Source organism: Homo sapiens, chromosome 20 (genome assembly GCF_000001405.40).
Source record: "Homo sapiens chromosome 20, GRCh38.p14 Primary Assembly".
Classification (NCBI taxonomy): Eukaryota; Metazoa; Chordata; class Mammalia; order Primates; family Hominidae; genus Homo; species Homo sapiens.
The window spans coordinates 58,211,403-58,230,558 of record NC_000020.11 but is presented as its reverse complement, the minus strand read 5'-3'; the positions used below and the strand labels follow the sequence as shown (position 1 = coordinate 58,230,558).

The following is a 19,156-nucleotide window of genomic DNA, read 5'->3' as shown; positions in this document are numbered from 1 at the left end:
TGTTCTCAAAGGTAGGATAAGGGAAGGAAGGAGGAAACAGCCCATTTGGGGTTCAAGAGCTAGCTCTGCTAAGGGCTTGTAAGCTATTTCTATTCTGCCCTTTGGTCTTTTTCTTGTTTGTCTTGTCTTTATTTTTAAATGAAATTCTTGAAGCTATGTATTGAATTTTCTAGTATAGAGGATGTGACTTCCACCTCCAAATTCCATTTAACTGATTCTTTTAAAAGAAAGATAGGCGTATATACACCACGCCAAAATAATAATAAGGTACCTATGTGAGAATTGCAAATTATACCCCAGGGTAGCATTTAGGCAGCGTCGGCAAAAAGTGAGTTAATAAATCAGAAGCTACATATTAAAAAAAAAATCAGTCAATCCGTCGTGTGTTTAATTCTTGCCTAAAGTAAATGGAGATATTGTTTTGCTTTGGTAACCAGCAATTTTTAATTTTTTTTTATTGCCCGCAAATTGAGATTGTTTTGTTAAAATCTGTTGATCTAGCAGCAAGTAGAATTATTCAACTGGAATCTTGTATTCTATTCAGAGCTTAATTTTCCGTTAAGGAAAAAAATGAGCTTCAGTTTGTGTTGTGATGTGTATAATTTGCATGCTGAATCACAACATGCTTGGAGAGATTGTAGAGACTCTTTGGTAAATAATCTAACCTTTACAATTTCCGTTTATATGTTAACATTTTTCTATAATATGAGTGCCTTTCCAATGCACAGATATTTTTTATGGCTGTAATTTCTCTGTAAAAATAATTTTTAAGCATACATTTTATTCTTTTTTTGCAACAACCGAGATTTTTCCAAGATTGTTCTGTTTCCCCTCGCCCTCCTAGCTCCCGCCCCCGTCACTTCGGCGCTTGTATTTTCTAATTATTCATGGGTGCCATGTTGAGTGTTTGTAATTTGACCACCACAGGTAAGCTTCCTGTTTACTTGAACACTCAGCCTCATCTCCGGTGAATGAAGGGAAAAGCACAGATGGGTTTCTCCCAGGCACAGCTCACTCCAAAGGTGTCTTCATAGAGCCAACCCAGCCTTTCTCAAGGGAGCATTTCCCCACTTAATGTGTTTATCAGCATCTTTCTTCCGCCAAGAATTCAAGAGCATTTTCAAAATTGATAGATTTTGGTGCAGTTTTGCAAGTTTCCGTGGAAGGCTGTCTCCCGCTTCTGGGATCCACCCCCATGTCGGGACCAGATCGGCTGCAGGGAGTCATGTTTATGAAATGTTGGTGGTTTTTTTTTTTTTTCATTCATACTAGAAGTGTTTTTATAACGAAAATCTGCACTTTACAACTCTGCAGGCCATGCATGCAATGGTGATTTACAGCCTTGTTTACGTGTAATTCCTCCAGGTGATTTATCCCAATTTATGCAAAGATCCTATTTTAAACAGACACGGAGAAGTGGTAACCGTTTCCTAACAGCAGCAAGAATGCCCCTTCCGTTTGCCTGGTGAAAAGAACTGACATTAACAGCAGCTTGGAGGCTTCGAGGAGGTGGGGACGTGGCCTGAGCTCGGGACGGGGGCCCAGTGCGGGTTGTCGGAGCGTGGCTGCCCGGCGATGTCTCTGTATTTATCAATAAATCTCCCGGTTGCTCTGGGAAGCACTTATGTCCTGTTCCATTATTTAAGAACCGTCTCCCGCGGCCGCGTGAAACTGCGGCTTTGTTCATCGCGGAGCGGGAAAGGACTGCGGGACCTTGGGGGGCCGCCCGCCCATCGGTCTCCCTGGAGGCTCGGGCGGCAGGCAGGGAGGGGCCTCGCCTTGCGTCTGGAGGGGGCGGTCCTGGCGGGGCCTGGGCGTCACAGTGGGGCGGGGGGCGCATGGGCCCGCCTTGGGGCGTCAGGGCGGGGGCGGCGATGACGCGTGGCCACCGCACTCGAGCCGCGGATGACGCGCGGCCGCGCCTGGGGGATGCGGCGGGCGGCGGCGGGGGCGGGCGGAGCGCGGGCGGCGGGGCCAACTGGGGGCGCCTCTCGCCTGCACCCCAATGCGGGACGCAGGAGCGGTGCGCGGGCCGGGGCTCAGGGGTGCGGCGGGCCCAGGGTGGGCTCGGCGGACTCGCGGGCCCTCCCCGCGCAGCCCCTGGCCTGTGCCCGCGGCCGGAGCCAGCGGCTCGTCTGTGACCCGAAGGCCGCGAGTGCCTTGCCCGACTTGGCCCCTGACGTCTTCGTCCTGCGGGTGCGGCTGGAGGAGACGGGGGAGATGTTCCGAGTGGCAAACTGCCGCGGCGACATGACCGTGCGGGAGCTCAAAGAGGAGCTGGACCTGATGGTCGGCATCCCCTTCAACCTCCAGCGGCTCCAGTACCTCGACGAAGGTGGCTCCTGCCCTGACTCCTTCCCTGGCCACATGCAAGGGCACCCTGTCCACTTCTGAAGTGGATTCCCAAAGGGAAGCCTGCTTACGTGAGAAACCCCAGATGTCAAAGCAAACCCCTGAAACCCAACCACCCTGAAACCCAGATGGAAGGGCCACTTAGGGTCCTGGCCACAGAGGGACTTCCCAATCTCAAACACACGGCGTTCAAATTGGACTCCCAATCAAGGCAAACCTTGTCCACAGCAGGACCCTAATCCACAAGCAGGTCCTGCCTGGATCGGGCTGCATCTGCCAACCCTGAGCAAATCCTGTCCAAGCCAGGACCCCCCAGAAGCCAGACCCTCAGGCTCCCCATGTCTTCATAAGGAACCCAGGTCCCAAAGCCAACTCTGTTCATGTAAGACTTGTCTGAAACAAGGCCTGTCCTCAGCAGAACCCCCAAACCCAAGGCAAGCCTGCCCATGTCAGTACCCCAAACTCAAAGCAAACCCCAAGTCCTCCTCCATGCTGGTCTTGAGAACATTAGAACCCCAAATCCTCTAGCCAACCATGTCCACGCAAGCATGCCAAACCTGAAACAAACCCTGCTGACCTCAGGACCCACAAATCCAGAATAAAATTGCCCAACACCGAACCCCAAATCTCTAGGCTAACCATGACTACTTCAGAACCCCAAATCCTCCAGCTACCACATCCCCCCCAGGATGCCAGGGCTTGAACAAACCTTGACCACCTCAGGACCCCAAAATCCAGAGCACACATGCCCAACTGAACCCCAAATCTCCAGGCTACCCATGACTACCTCAGAACCCCAGATTTTCCAGCCACTTTTGTCTTGCAAGGATGCCAAATCAAAACAAACCCTGTCCATCTCAGGACCCCAAAATCAACAAACCAGCCCAAGACTCAACCCCTAATCTCCAGGCTAACCATGACTACCTCAGAACCCCAGATCCTTCAACAACTGTGTCCAGGCAAAGAGGTCAAAGCTGAAACAAACTCTGTCCAGTTTAGGACCCCAAAACCAAGAACAAACCTGGCTAAATCTGAAATCCCAAATTGCCAGACTAATTATGTGACTATTAGAACCCCGAATCCTCCACAACCATGTCCACACAAGGATGCCAAGATCCGAAACAAACGCTGCCTGCCTCAAGACCCCATATATCTCTATGCAACTTCTGCCCATGTTTCAGCCTCAAACCCTGAAGCTATGCCTGGCCATAACAGAACCCTAAATCCCAGAGCAGACTCTACCCACGTCATGACCCTCAATTGCCCAATTCTGGACCCCCGGCCTCCAACTAACCATTTGTGCATCTGAACCCCAATCCATTAGCCACTTCTGTCTACATAAGGATGACAGAGCCCAAAATGAACCCTGCCCACATATGGACCCCAAAATTCAAAGCTAACTCTGCTCACATCTAAAAGGCAGTCACCGAGCTCACCATGACCATACCAGAACCCAAATCCCCTCAAAGTATCTTCATAAGGGCTCCAAAGAATGAAGCAAACTCTGTCCACAGCAGGACCCCAAAGCTCAAGTCAAACCCACACATATCTGAACCCCCAGATACGAAACCGTGTCTACATCAGCACTCCAAGGTTGAAGCTGGCCATGTCCATGTCAGGAAGTCAAGGTTCAAACAAAACCTTGCCTCCATGAGTACCCCAAAACTCAAAGCAAACTTTTCTTGTATATGTAACCCAAATCCTTCAGCCAACCTTATTTATACCAGAACCCCAAATTCCAGACCAAACCCTGCATATAGCAGGAGCCCAAATTTTGAGCAGATTTTATCACCATGAAGACCCCCAAATCTCAGGGCAGATGTGCTCGATTCCTACCCTCCAAATGCTACACTACTCGGGGCTACATCAGATCCCCACATCCCAAAACAAGTCCTGCCCATACGAGGACTCCAAATCCCAGAACAGACCTTTTCACATCAGGACCCCAAACAGACAGCAAACCTTACTTTAATCAGAACCCCAAATCCAGAGTAAACTGCCCTCACAGGAACCCGAGTCTCAAAGCAAATGCTGCTATCTACGTTTGAACCCCAAATAGTGGCAACTAACCCAGTACATATCAGAACCCCAAATTCCAAGCTGTGTCCTTGTTCACATCGGGAGCTCAAAGCTAGCCCAGCTGGAATCAGAACCCAGAACCGAAAGTTCCCTGTGACTGAATTAGGACCCCAAGGGCCCCACTCCAGACAAGTCCCATGTGGCAGATACCCAGTGGAGGCCAGGCACCCTAGAGCCCATCTCTCCTTCCATCAGTCTCCTTCCCTGACCCGAAGGCGTGGCTTTCCCTATCCCGATTCCCTACAATATTTAGGATATGAGAACAGGATCAAAGTCCCTGGGCTCCATCATCTCCCCACCTGGTTGAAATCAACGCAACACACTTCAAGAAAATGAAGATATAGAAAAAATCTCTGAGCTGCTGCTGCACAGAGAATGTGAACAGCTGATATTGCAGAGAGACTGCAGCTGTACTGCAGGGGCTGGGGAGCGATGGAGACAGATCTGAAAGCAGCCTGCCTCCACGGGCTTGGTGCTGCCAGACACTGCCCTTCTGGGCTCAGTTTCCTAATCCGTAACACAGAGAAACCAGCTCTGGAATTCTCGGAGCCGTTTCCCCCTCTGGACAGAAATGACGCAGGAAACTCAAAATGCACAGTGAAGGCCAAAATACCTTCCTTTTCTCTCTTTAAAATAGGTTAAGCACTTTTCCTGACGTATTTATTTTCCTATAGGAGTGTTTGGAAGATGCTCTCGAGCATTTTTGAGGCTTTATTTGGAAAGAAATGTGTTTTGAGCCTACTCTGTATTTAACATATTAAAAGTGAGGAGAGTTGTTGAAGGACTTAGTAAGAGTTCCCAAACAAGTAATTTGAAAATTATGTATCCTCAACTACAAATGCCTGGCACCCCTTCTGTTCATTTGTTTTCACTGATGAGCTATGCGGGGCTATTAATCCAAGAGAGCTAAGAGGGAGCGCGAGAGAGGGGGTGACTTAACACTGATGTCACAGGGCTATCACTCAACAGGCACTTAGCAACTGTTAGAAGCTCGACCTCTCTCTGCTGTTGTAGTCCTTGCTGTGGGTGGCAAACAAGAAAGACAGAAAGTGCTACTCATTATTAGAAGAAATTTGGGCTACTGCCTATAAATAATCCTCTGAGGCCTCTCCTACCCACCTCAAAATTTGGGGCGGGGGGAGATCAAATGAGATCATGTGTGAAAACCTTGAGTTTCACAAATCTAAAAGGGGTGAGCAAATCCATGGGCCAGGGTTGCCCTTACACGTCTGTTGTCAACTGTGATAATTTATTTAGCTGGTGATAATTAGTATTTGTCTAAGTCCAAGGCAGTGGCTGCCTGTCTATAAAAAGAGAATGTACTCCGATCTCTACAGGGGCTGTTCAGCATGTGGGAGTTTTACTCTTGCCCGTCTCAGCAAAACACAGCTTTACTCAATATTTTCAAAGTTGTAGGGAGTCAAGTTGTCTTACTTAGACTAATTACCGGTTATCCTCTGTGTCTGAACCACAAATAGGACACTAATTAACAGATTTGCTGATCACTATTCCCTCTTGACATCTACCATCCTGAGTTTCTGGTAGCAAATTGGTGCTCATAGAGCCAAGAGTGAGAAGTCAGTGGCCCTGGAGGGAAGCAGGTCTGGTGCCAGCACTGGGGTGGCTGTTCACAGGCTATGTGAGCCTCAGTCTGCTCATCAGCAGATGGAGTTAACAAACCTACCTTGGAGGGCTGTCCTAAGGATGAAAGAATATAGGTACTCGGTCTGGGAACCAAGTAATCACTAAGTACCTAGTACATAAGCACAAAGCCATGAATCATGAAACCAGAAAACTCATGAATCCCACTCAGTTGGACTCTAGACTGTGTCACCTGGGCGGAGCTGAGACTCGATGTTGGTGGCATTGCTCATAAAGAAAGCATGAGGCCTAAGGAGCTCTGGTACTCCAAGTCCAAATTGGGGTGGATGTCAGCATTAGCTCCTCACATCACGTCGGCTCTTAGCTAGGGAGATTTTGTCCCCCAGAGCCCATTTGGTAATGTCTGGAGCCTTTTTTTTTTTTGGAGACAGGGTTTCACTCTATTGCCCAGGCTGGAATGCAGTGGTGTAATCTTGGCTCACTGCAACCTCTGTCTCCTAGGCTCAGGTGATCCTCCCACCTCAGCCTCCTGAGTAGCTGGGACCACAGGTGTGAGCCATCGGGCCCAGATAATTTTTGTATTTTTTGTAGAGACGGGTTTTTGCCATGTGGCCCAGGCTGGTCTCGAACTCCTGGGCTCAAAGTCTGCCCACCTCAGCCTCCCAAAGTGCTGAGATGACAGGTGTGAGCCACTGTGCTGGGCCTGGAGGCATGTTTGATTGTCTTGATTTGGTGAACGTGCTGCTAGCATCTAGTGGGTAGAGGCCGGGAAGCTGTGAACACCAGACAACGAGGAGGGGCCCCTGCCACAAGGAGTTACCCAGTCTAAACTGTCAGCAGTGCCAAGGTGGAAAAATCCCTCCCACGCTTCAATTTGAAAGATCCAACATTTTTTTTGTCATTGTCACCTCTTTAGCCAGGTAATGACATTATCCAAGAGTATTTTGGTTTACCCTATATGATTTGTATAACCACATTGTGCTGTGTGTCTAATGACTGGTTACTTCAGGTTTAAGTCATTCTATTTGTAGAGTTTGCCTCATAAAATGACTTTACTGACTCATGTGCCTTTTCACAATAGGACAAGTTATAATTACAGAATTTTATAAATCGTTGGCATTGTGATTTTGTTCGGCTTCCATCTGAGCTGAACCAAATTTATTTTCTGAAAAGCATTACCAACAACAGACAGACCCACGCGACACCATCAAATGAGATTTGTATTCGATATTTCTAAAATTATCTTTGTGGCACTCAAGGTCAGATAATCTCTTAACTTAACCAATGTAGTAGTTTATCTTTAATACCCAATTTTTTAAAAGAAAAAAAATTTTTCCCTGCAGGAGTTTTGATGGATGACACTACCCTGAAGTTCCATGATGTTGTTCCTGGAGGGATTATTTCATTATGTATCTGGCATCATGACGGATGGACAGAACTTGTTTTGGCGGCTGTGGAAGGGGATCCCAGCAAGGTGTTTTCAAGCTTCTTTAAATGGATATTATACGTTACGAAGCAACCGTAAATTGTGGGGGGAAAATTAGTCTTTAATACGGATATGTGAATAACAGTTTCAGAGCAGGGAAGAGAGAACGATGAGCCGTGTCATAATTATGAAATACCGCACTGAGGGTTTGCCTTCACTCCTTGGGTTTACCATTTTGCTGGGTTTATCGATTTGTGATTTATAACCCACTTACCGCCCCACCCCTCCCCGCAAAGGAGTCGAGGCAGCACGTTTCTATTCATGTTTATAAGTGATAAGGTTGGAAATCTAATTTAATACTGAGAGGAGAACTCCAGATAACTGAGAAGCGTACAGCTCAGAGCTCGGGGCTGTGGTACAGGCCTCCGCCAGGTGCTGCCTGGTTCCGGAGGGAGAGGCCCCTCGTTCCCGGGGTGAGCGGCGGGCGCTCTGTCCTCCAGGGCTCCTGCTGGCCTCTCAGCTGGGCTCTAGGGGTGGGCAGTGGGGGGCAGGAGGATAGAAACCAGATGTGTACCCAACAGGGAAGATGAATCACTGTGACACGAGGGGCAATGCTATATTCTTCCTAGAAAAGAAATTCGGATGGAAAGCTATGTGCTCCTGGAGAAGAAGAGATGGAGTTTCTTTGCTCAGAAAGGGGTCAGGGAAGGCTGGGTGTAGCAGGGGCTGGGATTGGCGCTCTTGGAAGAGTGCGTGGGCTCGGGGCAGGTGCGGCAGGAGGCAGCCTTGGCAGGGAGGGTAGGCAGGATGGGGCCCTGTCCCAGCCCTGACACATCTCCTAGTCCCTCCCGCTCCTCCTCCTCCACACTCTCCTCTGCCCCTTCTGTCTCCCTGCCCTTTGTCACCAGCAGTGTGGTCCATGCTTGGTTTTCTGGCTCTTACTCTGGCTGCAGGGGTCACCTCCCTGCTGTTTGAGGCTGTCAGAATTGCCATCATCCTCGTCTCGATTCTGATCCTCCCACTGCCCCAGTCCTGACTCCCATATCAGGGCAGAGTATCCTCCCTGGGGGAACCCGTAGCCTTCCTCCCAGGCTCAAAGACTTAATTCACCACGAGGTGGTTACGTGACCGGGCTGTTCACCTGTGCATGTTCAGCTTGCTCTGAAACCTAATGGAGACAGTGGGCACACAAATAGACGGGAAAGCCAGATCCGGTCTCCAAGAGATGACTGTCACCCTCTGGGAGGCCATTTATATTGGCTGGTGTCTTCCTCAGTGGCTTCAACCACCTTCCTGTGGACACCTGGCAAAGCTATTTTCTCTCTTCAAAACATTGACAGGAAGACCTTCCTGTGTTCCGAGCCTGACTGACGGCGAATTCGTATTTCCTGAACATATATAAAGCATTAAATCATGGCCTCCCCATGCTGTCCTGGGTGTTTCTCAGCTTTTCATGAGGGTTTGCACCTCTCTTTTCCCATCATGAGCCTTAATTTGACATTCAAGCAAGCCTTCCCCTGAGCATGCCCCATCAGCCGTCCAGCAAAATGTAGCCACGCTTTTGAGAATAACTCAAACTCCTCTTGTCTTGCCCAGCTATCTTGTCTCGGGCTTACTGAAGATTCCTTCTACCGAACCGCAAATTCAGAACATTTTGAGGGTGAGAAGTGGAAGCACTGGACGTCTCAGAGGGCGTTTGTGGCGTTGTATGTGGCCTCACACAGAGGCCACTTTGATGCTGTGCAGTACCTTCTAGAACACGGTAATTCTGGTAGAAAGCTTGCTATATTCATGAGTTGGGATTTTTTGCAGGTAGAAAGGACAGAGTGTCTTGTGTTCCCAGTCCTTCCAGCAGTGGTTTCCTGGACCTGTGTCTTGTCAGCCACCAGTCAGGGTCCCCATGGTGCCACTCACTCCCTGTCTAGGCAAGTGTCTTAGGGCACGCCAGTCAGAGGCTGCCCTCCTTCTCTTCACCAGGTCTCGAGAAGATTCTTTCTGCTTCAGTGAGGCAGAAATTTCAGGACCCAAGACACAGGCGGCAGCTATAAAGGATCCCTGGTTCATTTCTCACCAGACACATTGCTGGGAATATTCGCATGCTGTCTGTGTGATTTCCAGCCTCGCATGAAATTAGGATGCTGCAATGGTCCGAAATGGTCTAGCCTCTGGCCAGGCACGGTGGCTCATGCCTGTAATCTCAGCACTTTGGAAGGCTGAGGCGGGCAGATCACATGAGGTCAGGAGTTCACAACCAGCCTGGCCAACCAGCCTGGTGAAACCCCGTCTCTACTAAAAATACAAAAATTAGCTGGGTGTGGTGGCACGTACCTGTAGTCCCAGCTACTCAGGAGGCTGAGATAGGAGACTACAACACACACACACACACACACACACACACACACACACACACACACACTAGAAAAAACCCCAAAATAGTCCACCTTCCAGCCAGCACAGCTCTGTGGTGGATGGCAGGATCACCATTCTCCCTTCTCCAAGCCTCGTTATTATTTTCTCACAAGACATTCATGCTGAACTCTCTTTTCAACCCACCTCCACTTAAGGGCCTCCTTCCACTCTCTCTCTCTCTCTCTCTCTCTCTCTCTCTCTGGCTCTCTTGATAGATAGAAACAGAAGCCTTAGCCAACATTGTCTCCAAATTAAAGAGCTTTACATAGTATTCCATAGGTGTACACTCTATCCTCCCTGGATGTGGGATATTTTTGGGAAAAGATGCCCATTGATGGAGATGCAGACCACTCAATGCGGAGTGGAGAACAATGGAGAACAGCTGTTAACAGCCTAGACCCTCAAGAACAATGGAGAACAGCTGTAACAGCCCAGACCACCAGCTTCCTTGGAAAAAGGGAGAACATGTTACGTGGTGTTTGGTCAATGGTTTGGGCTCAGGAGGGGCCTTTCCCATGGGTCTCCTGTATCAACTTGCCTCCAAATTAGACCCCTTTCTTTCCTACTCACAGCCTTGGCTCCAGCCTCTGTCAGCTCAGTCATTGCTATTTTTCCCACTTACACCAAGCAAAGTGGAAAACATCTTGGACTTCCTGGGCCGGATGATTGGGCCGTGCATCGGGTGTACAAACCTCTGTGATGGGTAAAGGTTACCTCAACAATATTCTCCTTCCTTCCTTCACTGCCTGTCTGCTCTTTGCTTGTTGTAAAATGAAATATGGGCTTTGCGCAGCCCAGCAGTCCTTTAAGCTCATAAAAAGTCATTTTTGCTCTGATAGAACTGTGATGTATTTGAAGGCACCAGTTAAAAAATTACAGCCAGCTTTGCAAAGTTTTCTGTCCTCTGCAGACAGCTGCTGGGGGGAGGTGTCATGGTCGACACTGGTGTTCTAAGAGCCTATTTAAAACTTTACCTCACCAACCAGCCGGAGCTCATAAAAACTGGCTACTGAAATGTCAGCTGAATTTAATTGAATTGCCTTGTTTTCTGTGTCATATTTGTTATCCAGAATTTGATTCAATTCAACAACTCCATATTGGACACCTGTCATTAGCCCATCCATCTGCAGGAGGCGGTGGGGAATTTAATCGAAGTGAAATCTGTCCATGAGTCAGGCTGCCCATTGCGTCATTTCCTGAGTGCCTGTCTTCTGCAGGCACTGAGCTATGTGCTCGGGATGAGAACAGCAACAAGCCAGATGTGTGTATTTTCTGCCCTCCTGGAGTTTATGAGGGGAAGTCAGTAGATTATTACAAATAATTCCATAGTCAATGATGTACACAGTGTTGTGAAGATGTAGAGTGTCTATTGAGCTTACACAGGAGGTTTCATGGGGTGGGAGAACTAAGGAAGATTTTCCCAAGGAAAGAAATGAAACCTAAAGAAAGGTCAGATTTAGCCCAGAATAAAATGGGTGAGAATGTTGTGAATGGGCCTGGGGCAGGATGCAGAGCAGGGTGTGTTTTAGGGATGAAGGTGGAAGGTAGGTATAATTGGTGCCTTGGTGGTGGGGTGGGGGAGGAGAGTATGGCAGGAGGGAATGCTGGAAGAGTAATGGGAAGGTAGGGTGAGAGTGAGCGGGAAAGACCTAGAACATCACCCCACAGCCGGTGGGATGGCAGTGATGGATCTGAGCAGGAGTTTGATATGGGCATTCTGGAAAGATCACTGGCTGCTGCCAGGGGAGTGGACTGGGGGCAGGGCAGTACTGGAGCTGGGCCAGGCAGCAGGACCTCCCTGAGGAGCACTCCCTTCACAGCCCTGGACCCCTCCTGTGTTCCCCCTCCGCATGTCTTCCTTCTGGCCAATGTTCTTATTTTACAGGAGCCAGCTGCCTCAGCAGATCCCCCCTGGGCAGGACACCCCTGCATGTGGCTGCAGCTATGGGCCGGTCAGACTGTATAATCCTCCTGCTCCAGCACGGGGCCTCCATCCACGACAGAGATGCCAAGGGGGAGACCCCCATCTCCATTGCACACCGCCTGAACCACACACTGAGCGAGAGGCAGATGGTCCTCCTCCACCGGATAGCAAAGTCGGGGATAAGGGATCTGAATGACTTGGTCATGAAGAATGCTTTGCAGAGGGTCAAGTCTGGGTTTAGGTCTGAGAAGATGACGATGACCCCTCATTAGCTCCTGGTGGGAACGTTTGCCCGCTGAGGCTGGTTTGGGCAACTTTGCAGAGTTCAATCCCATGGGGGCCCTTGGTGAGCAGGGAGGCAGGAAAACAGGGCAATTAACCTGAATCAGATACGAAATTATCTGTCCTGTTTGCAAATGATTTCTGGAGGGTGTTGATGGCAGTAGGTAAGCCTGTGCTCATTTAGTAATCCATTACAGACTGAACAGGCTCTAATGCCAGCCTTTAATTTTAAGCTATTTGCACATTGTACCCAATAGCGCTGCTCAGGGTGATGGGAGCCAATTACCTTCTCTCCCTTCTGGGGACCGTCTAATGCACTGGCATAATAGGAGTAATAACAATAATGATAATAGCACTATTGTTATTGTATAAAACAAGTGCCAGCAAATGTCAGGAGGTCGTGTGTAGTGTGGGCTGTGAATTTCAGTCTGTAAAGCCATGGAACTAAATGCTCCCACAGCTAATGTTCCAGGTTTCCTGAGCCATCTTTGAGGGGTCTGCTTCTTGAGTCGGGGGCAGAAGGGAAGCTGGGTGAGCTTGGCTGTCCACACACACTCTCCAGAAGGGATGGCTTATTACTCTTGTTGAAAGGTAACACGTTGGTGCTAGATGGGGAGGAAACAGTGTAAAAGAAGATGAGAATCAGGCTGGTCACATTTTCTCTTTTGTCCCATCTCCAGTGGTCCATGCAGTCTCCTCTTGCCAGAGTTCTCCTTTTCCTGCCAGCACTGGGATAGCCCTTCCTTCTTTCCTTTGAGCAAACCACCTTGGAGTGTCTATGCTCAACTCTCAGGTCTTTGCATTGCAAAACCTTATACCGCATTGCAGGATGTGCCTGGTGTTCCTACAGGGTCCCAGCCTGCCGAGTGCACGAGTGAGCTGGGCGTGGGAAATAAGAAGGAAAGACAAGGATGGCGCCAGCTGTCTGAAGAGAGCACCGAGACTTGACTCCTGCAGAAATGAAAGGCAGAGGCCACTAGATCTTTCTAGAACTCTCCAGACCTGGAAATCTGGCTTTTTGAAAGGATCTCCCTTGATTTTTTTTTTTCTTTTTTTGAGACAGAGTCTTGCTCTATTGCCCAGGCTGGAGTGCAGTGGTGCCATCTCGGCTCACTGCAACCTCTGCCTCCTGGGTTCAAGCGATTCTCCTGCCTCAGCCTCTTGAGTAGCTAAGATTACAGGCACCTGCCACCATGCCTGGCTAATTTTTGTATTTTTAGTAGAGATGGGGTTTCACCACGTTGGCCAGGTTGGTCTCGAACTCCTGACCTCATGATCTGCCCCCCTCGGCCTCCCAAAGTGTTGGATTTACAGGCATGAGCCACCACACCCGGCCAGATCTCTCTTGATTTTTAAAATTTGGCTTGAATTTTTGAAGAACGTGGTCTGCTACAAAAGGAGTGAGAAGATGTGGGGCACACCCATGTGACTGCCTCTCACTGTCAAACTCTAATTCATTTCATGGAGAAACGTGATAGAAACAACCAAAATCTCTCTGGAGCAATCCAAGACTCTGATGCCACAGTGAAGGAGTAGCCACGGGTCTTACTGGGTGGCGTGTGGGGTCCACTCTCCCACCTCCCACAGACCATTTATGTTCTCTAAAGCTCTACCTTCTAAGCAACTTTTGGAATCAAAATGTGTGGCAGTAGTCTTGTGACCATTGCAGTTTTCCTGGGAATGGGAAATGGCGCTGTATCCTGGCCACCCTTTCCCACTTCCATCCCAAGAACTGGAGTCAGCTTTTAAATTAACTGGCTGCATTTCCTGCTGTCATAGCAAGTAAGATCTGTGTTGATGATGTGGTTTTACACTCAGTGTACGTGGCTGTACCCAGCTCAGCACTCTGTTAGACAAATAATAGTCGAGGAAAAAAATAGCTCAGCATCAACTATGTCAAAACTGAGATCTTGTTCTTGGCAGACGTTCTGCAAAGTCAATAGGCAGATATTAAGCAACCCCAACCCAATGGGGCAATCCATTTAGCTAATGAAGTGTTAGGGGGGTGATGCAGGCACTCTTTTAACTTAACAAGTGGCATTACTCAAAGTTGTGCATTTGCCAGGAGCTCTGCCCAGCTGCCTTCGTTGTTTGGAGAGCCAACTGCTTGACTCCTATATGTAAAATTCTGGGGGCAAGCATTCTATCTTCATCTACCCCCAATTCAATTAAGCACTTGGCCAGACATTGGGCAGGTCCCAAACTCTTCATGGTGACATTTTGCTCAGTCTGTGGTAGGGTCATCTGAACACTCGTAGGTCCTGGGGAGCGCTTCATTTTAGACAATCCTGACATTCTATTTATATTCAACAAGTCTGTATCACTTACGAAATAAAATATATCCAGAGCCATAGAAGGATTGAGTTGCCATTGGGTGATATGTTACATTTTGTAGATATTTCATTAAACGTTATTTTGAAGGTTTTTTTCCCCACATTTTGGGAGCCAACAAAGTTTTTTTTGAGTGTGTGTTGGGGGGTCAATCTCAAGCATTTTTGTTGGACCCTGGAGGTGGGCCGGCATGGTGGTCAGGCACATCTCTGCTCTGTGTAGGGCAGACACGAGCTTCCTCTGGTCTTCCAGGCCCTGACATCCAGTTCCTTTGCCTCGTCTGGCATCCCCAGGTAGGGCTGGGCTTGCAGTCACCAGAGGGGAAGAGCTGCCTGTGCGGAGGTGGGGATACAGGCTTTGGGGTCAGCACAGATCTTGGCTTGCATCTTACTGGCTCTGCCATGTGGCCTTGGGTGAATTCCCCACTGCTCTGAGCCAAGAGTCCTCTGTAGAGGAGGAAGGAGGGTAATCCTGGTCACTGAGCTTGCTGGGAAGGCCTGGGAGGTGGGAAGCACTCAGTAGATGCCAACTATTATGGTCTCAGAGTTCAACTGGAAAATCTTGCTGAAGTCATGGGTGAAATTATTGACACTGGTGAGAGGGGAGATAGGAGACCCCCATTTGGTGCCTTTCCTGGGCTCCCAAGTTTTGATCACCAAAAAAATTGATGATCTGACCCTTTGAGCTTAGTGGCCCCATGGAAATGCCATTGTGTATCCTTGGATTTCTTGGAGGCCACATAAAGGCGGAGTCTTCTTCCTCCCCTCGTTACTGTCAGGGACATTGCTCACCCATGAGCCTTACGCCAGCCTGTCAGGCCGGAGCCCACTGGAGAGATGCACATACTTGTCATGAGCAGATGATGATGGCAGCTGAGTGAGCCATCATGTTTCCACTTGCCTTGGCTGCCAGGAGGCTCAGAGCCAAGGTTAATGCCCACCTGGGGCAAATATCCAATGTCCCCACCCCCGTCTTGCCTTTTATCTTTCCTTGAATGAGTTATCTCTCTTTCTAAAAATGTAACTGCTGGCCAGGCGCGGTGGCTCACACCTGTAATCCCAGCACTTTGGGAGGCCAAGGCGGGCGGATCACAAGGTCAGGAGATCGAGACCAACCTGGCTAACACGGCGAAAGCCCGTCTCTACTAAAAATACAAAACATTAGCTGGGCGTAGTGGCAGATGCCTGTAGTCCCAGCGACTCGGGAGGCTGAGGCAGGAGAATGGCGTGAACCCGGGAGGCGGAGCTTGCAGTGAGCCGAGACTGAGCCACTGCACTCCAGCCTGGATGACAGAGCGAGACTCCGTCTCAAAAAAAAAAAAAAAAAAAAAAAAAAGTAACTGCCTCATACAGGTGTTGAATTGTAAGTTGCTTCCTTTCTGGAAGTCAATGCAGTAGAAATTGTAAAAGAGATGCCACCAACTGTGGTGTTGGAAGGTGACTTGAACTTCTCGCCCAGGACTGGCTTAGCAGACCCGGCTACCTGGCCATCCAGCCTTCCAGGTGGTGAAACAAAGATGCTGAGCTTTTCTTCTGCACTCCAGTCTATTGGTGGAACCTCCAGCAGCCTCTGCAGCCGGGAGGTGGGTGTTGGGGCTGCCCCTCTGGGCTTCTGTACATCCTGGGTCTCTGGGGCTCTGCCCTAGTCCTCAGCACTTTGCTTTCTCCCTCCGAAGATGACTCGGCGGGGCCTTCAGCTGCATGCTGGGCTCTCGCCACTGTCTCCTCACTCCATCTCAGACTGGGGCACTCCCTTGCCTGAAGCATATTCACTAACCCAGGGGTTCCCAGAAAGCAGGGAGGGCATCTCACTGGTGGCGCCTCAGGGGACTTCAGGTGGTCCCTGTCTCTGTATTAAGTGACACTGAAACACTGGGTGGGAAAGGCAATCCCTTTTGACATTGCTCTCGATCCTTTCAGTATCCACAAGGATAAAGTTTCCTTTTTGTGCTAGTACAGATCCAGCACCTCCCTGACCCTCGCTAATCTCCCTCCTAAAAACACATCAATGGAGCGCAGTGTTTTGCTGGTAGCAGTATTTTGCTGGGATGTAACGGCACTGTCTTGTTTTCAGTGCACTGCAGGCCAGCGTTCTATCCCTTTCTCTCCTCCTTCCCAGTTGTGTGACCTTGGACCAAATGGTCACTTCCCAAGAGCCTCAGAGTCTTTATCCATCATGTGGGCCTCGTCACCAGCATCCCCACCTGGTTTGCATTGGTGAAAGGAGACTGCCAGTGTGGATTGTGCCCTCAAGACCCAAGGCCCTTGTCAGCGTGACCCCGAGGTGCAGTGGGAGGGTCCTGGGCTTGCAGTCTGGCAGATCCAGTTTAGAATTTTCCTCCACCACAAGCTGTGTGGCATTGGGCCAAACAATGGCACCTCTCAGAGCATCAGTTTAAAACCTGGCCCCTGTCATTGGAGGGATTAAATGCCTGGCACGGAGCAGACGCTTGAAAAATGGTAGCCATTATTATTATTATTATTATTATTGCTACAACCACTTAATTTGCTTAAAATGTTTACTCACTGGGATTCAATACACCCCCCTCCACCCGTCTCCAGATAGCCTCATACATTTTCAGCAAACCTTATACAGTAAGAGTCTCTGTCCAGAACTAATAATCCCCAAAGTGGGAGATAAATAATTTCCCTTAAATTTGCTGATTTGGGTGTGAGGCAGAGGGCTTTCTCAGCAACTTGGAAAAAGTGCGTACTGAACTTGAAACTCCAGGGCCAGTTCTGCAGGAGAGGAAAACAGCTCTAAGGCAAGAGGAAAATTCCAGTCACTGGGCTCTGCCTCCGCAGTGGCGCACTGACTGCAGATGCTTCCAGCAGAGGGCACAGAAACCCATTAACATTTAGACAAACACTCGTGTTTGTGTTCATCGGAAATGTCAGAAACGCCGCAGTCTGCGCCACTTTGAAAAAGGGGCCTCACAGATGGGCTTTTCTGCCTGAATCCCTGGAATTGTCTGCAAAATGTGCATGTCTGTACACATTTTCTGGGGAGAACCTCATTATATCCTGAAAGGGTCTGTGGACCACCCCCTTCCCCAAGGTACCAAAACCTGCTCACAAAACAAGGAACTCAACCATAGCAATTGTCAAAGTAATCAAACCGACGCTCATTTGACTGGCTTTCATTACCAATTTACAATTGGAAAAATGATAAATACTCATAACATCTGGGGCTGTGGGGTGTGTGTGTGTGTGTGTGTGTGTGTGTGTGCACGTGTGTGCGCCTGGGAAACATGTCAGCGCCGCACGGGGGAGCTTGCCGATTCCCATCTTCCTGCAGGATTGATCGCTGTCTGACAATACGTATTCAGAATGCCCACGACAGCACAGCGCCTCACCTCTGTAAATCCATCCTACAGAGAGGAAACCCCTGTACAAAATGAGACCCGGTCACAAATGTTCGTGACTGCTGTTTATGGTAGCAGGTGCCTGGAAACACTCTACATGCTCACACGCGGGAGGGATGGTGGCACATTTTGCAGCTACGAAAACCTGACTTGATCTGTATGTACAGGCCAGGGGACAGTCATGAGGAGTATCTGGGATGTATCACTAAGTGAAAAACAGCAAGTGGCCCAAGAAATGTGGATGAGCACGGTTCTAAAAAGAGACAACTCTAGTGTCTATATATGTTTATTTGAGCACAAAGAATGATGTCAAAGGTATACCTCCAAACTGTTAGCATTGCTTGCTCCAGGGCAAGAGAACTGTTTTACACAGCCCTAAATTGTTACAACCGGCAAGTCTCCTTTTGTGAGACAGGGTCTCACTCCATCATCTAGGCTGGAGCTCAGTGGTGCAATCACGGCTCATTGCAGCCTCGACCTCCTGGGCTCAAGTGATCCTCCCATCTCAGCCTCTTGAGTAGCTGGGACTACAGGAGCGCCCCACCGTGTTTGGCTAATTTTTTGTATATATGTATTTTTTAATAGAGACAGGGTTTCACCATGTTGCCGAATTCCTGGGCTCAAGCGATCTGCCTGCCTCAGCCTCCTAAAGTGCTGGGATTATAGGAATGAGCCATCATGCCTGGCCCTTCTTTTATTTTTTATCGTGGCAAAAGACACACAACATTATCCTTAGTGACATTTAGTACATTCGCGATGTTGTGCAACCATCACACTATTTCCAGAACATTTTCATCATTTCAAAAATAAACCCCATACCCATTTGCATTCACCCCGGACACCTCCCTCCAGCCCTAGATGACCACCAATCAACTTTCTGTCTATACATTTGAATACTCTGAATATTTCATATAAATCAGATCATAACAATATGTAGCTCCCCTGCTTTTTTTTTTTTTGAAACGGAGTCTCACTCTGTCATCCAGGCTGGAGTGCACAGGCATGATCTCAGCTCACTGCAACCTCGGCCTCTTGAGTTCAGGCGATTCTCCAGCCTCAGCCTCCTGAGTAGCTGGGACTATAGGCACATGCCACCATGCCCAGCTAATTTTTGTATTTTTAGTAGAGAGCGGGTTTCATCATCTTGGCCAGGCTGGTCTTGAACTCCTGACTTCAGGTGATCCACCCACTTTGGCCTTCCAAAGTCCTGGGACTACAGGCGTGAGCCACTGTGCCCAGGCACATGTAGCCTTTTGGACCTGGTTTTTAGCATAATGTTTTTGAGGTTCACCCATGTTGTGGTATGTCTTAGTACTTCATTCTTTTTTATGGCTGAATGACATTCCATTGTATGAATATACCATGTTTTGTTTATCCATTTATTAGC

The 19,156-nt window shown here is 48.9% G+C and overlaps 1 protein-coding gene across 3 annotated transcripts; it reads left to right on the top strand.

Moving 5' to 3' along the window:
- The first annotated feature begins 1,905 nt into the window (after positions 1-1,905).
- On the top strand, positions 1,906-14,433 carry ANKRD60 (ankyrin repeat domain 60). 3 transcript variants are annotated; one of them, NM_001304369.2, is made up of 4 exons: positions 1,906-2,335; positions 7,377-7,507; positions 9,056-9,221; positions 11,754-14,433. In NM_001304369.2, the coding sequence occupies exons 1-4, from the start codon at positions 1,906-1,908 to the stop codon at positions 12,062-12,064; spliced, it is 1,038 nt and encodes a 345-aa protein (NP_001291298.1). In that variant the 3' UTR covers positions 12,065-14,433. The 3 variants fall into 3 exon arrangements, with proteins under 3 accessions (NP_001291298.1, XP_047295859.1, XP_047295858.1); XM_047439903.1 differs by lacking the exon at positions 11,754-14,433 and adding an exon at positions 10,939-11,545; XM_047439902.1 differs by lacking the exon at positions 11,754-14,433 and adding an exon at positions 10,441-10,726.
- The last annotated feature ends 4,723 nt before the right edge of the window (positions 14,434-19,156 follow it).

Excerpts from the sequence above, each read along its gene's own strand:
- ANKRD60 (NM_001304369.2), top strand. The coding sequence starts at position 1,906 with ATGACGCGCGGCCGCGCCTGGGGGATGCGGCGGGCGGCGGCGGGGGCG. Across the intron at positions 2,336-7,376 it reads GCTCCAGTACCTCGACGAAG|GAGTTTTGATGGATGACACT; the intron begins GTGGCTCCTGCC and ends TTTTCCCTGCAG. Across the intron at positions 7,508-9,055 it reads TGGAAGGGGATCCCAGCAAG|CTATCTTGTCTCGGGCTTAC; the intron begins GTGTTTTCAAGC and ends TGTCTTGCCCAG.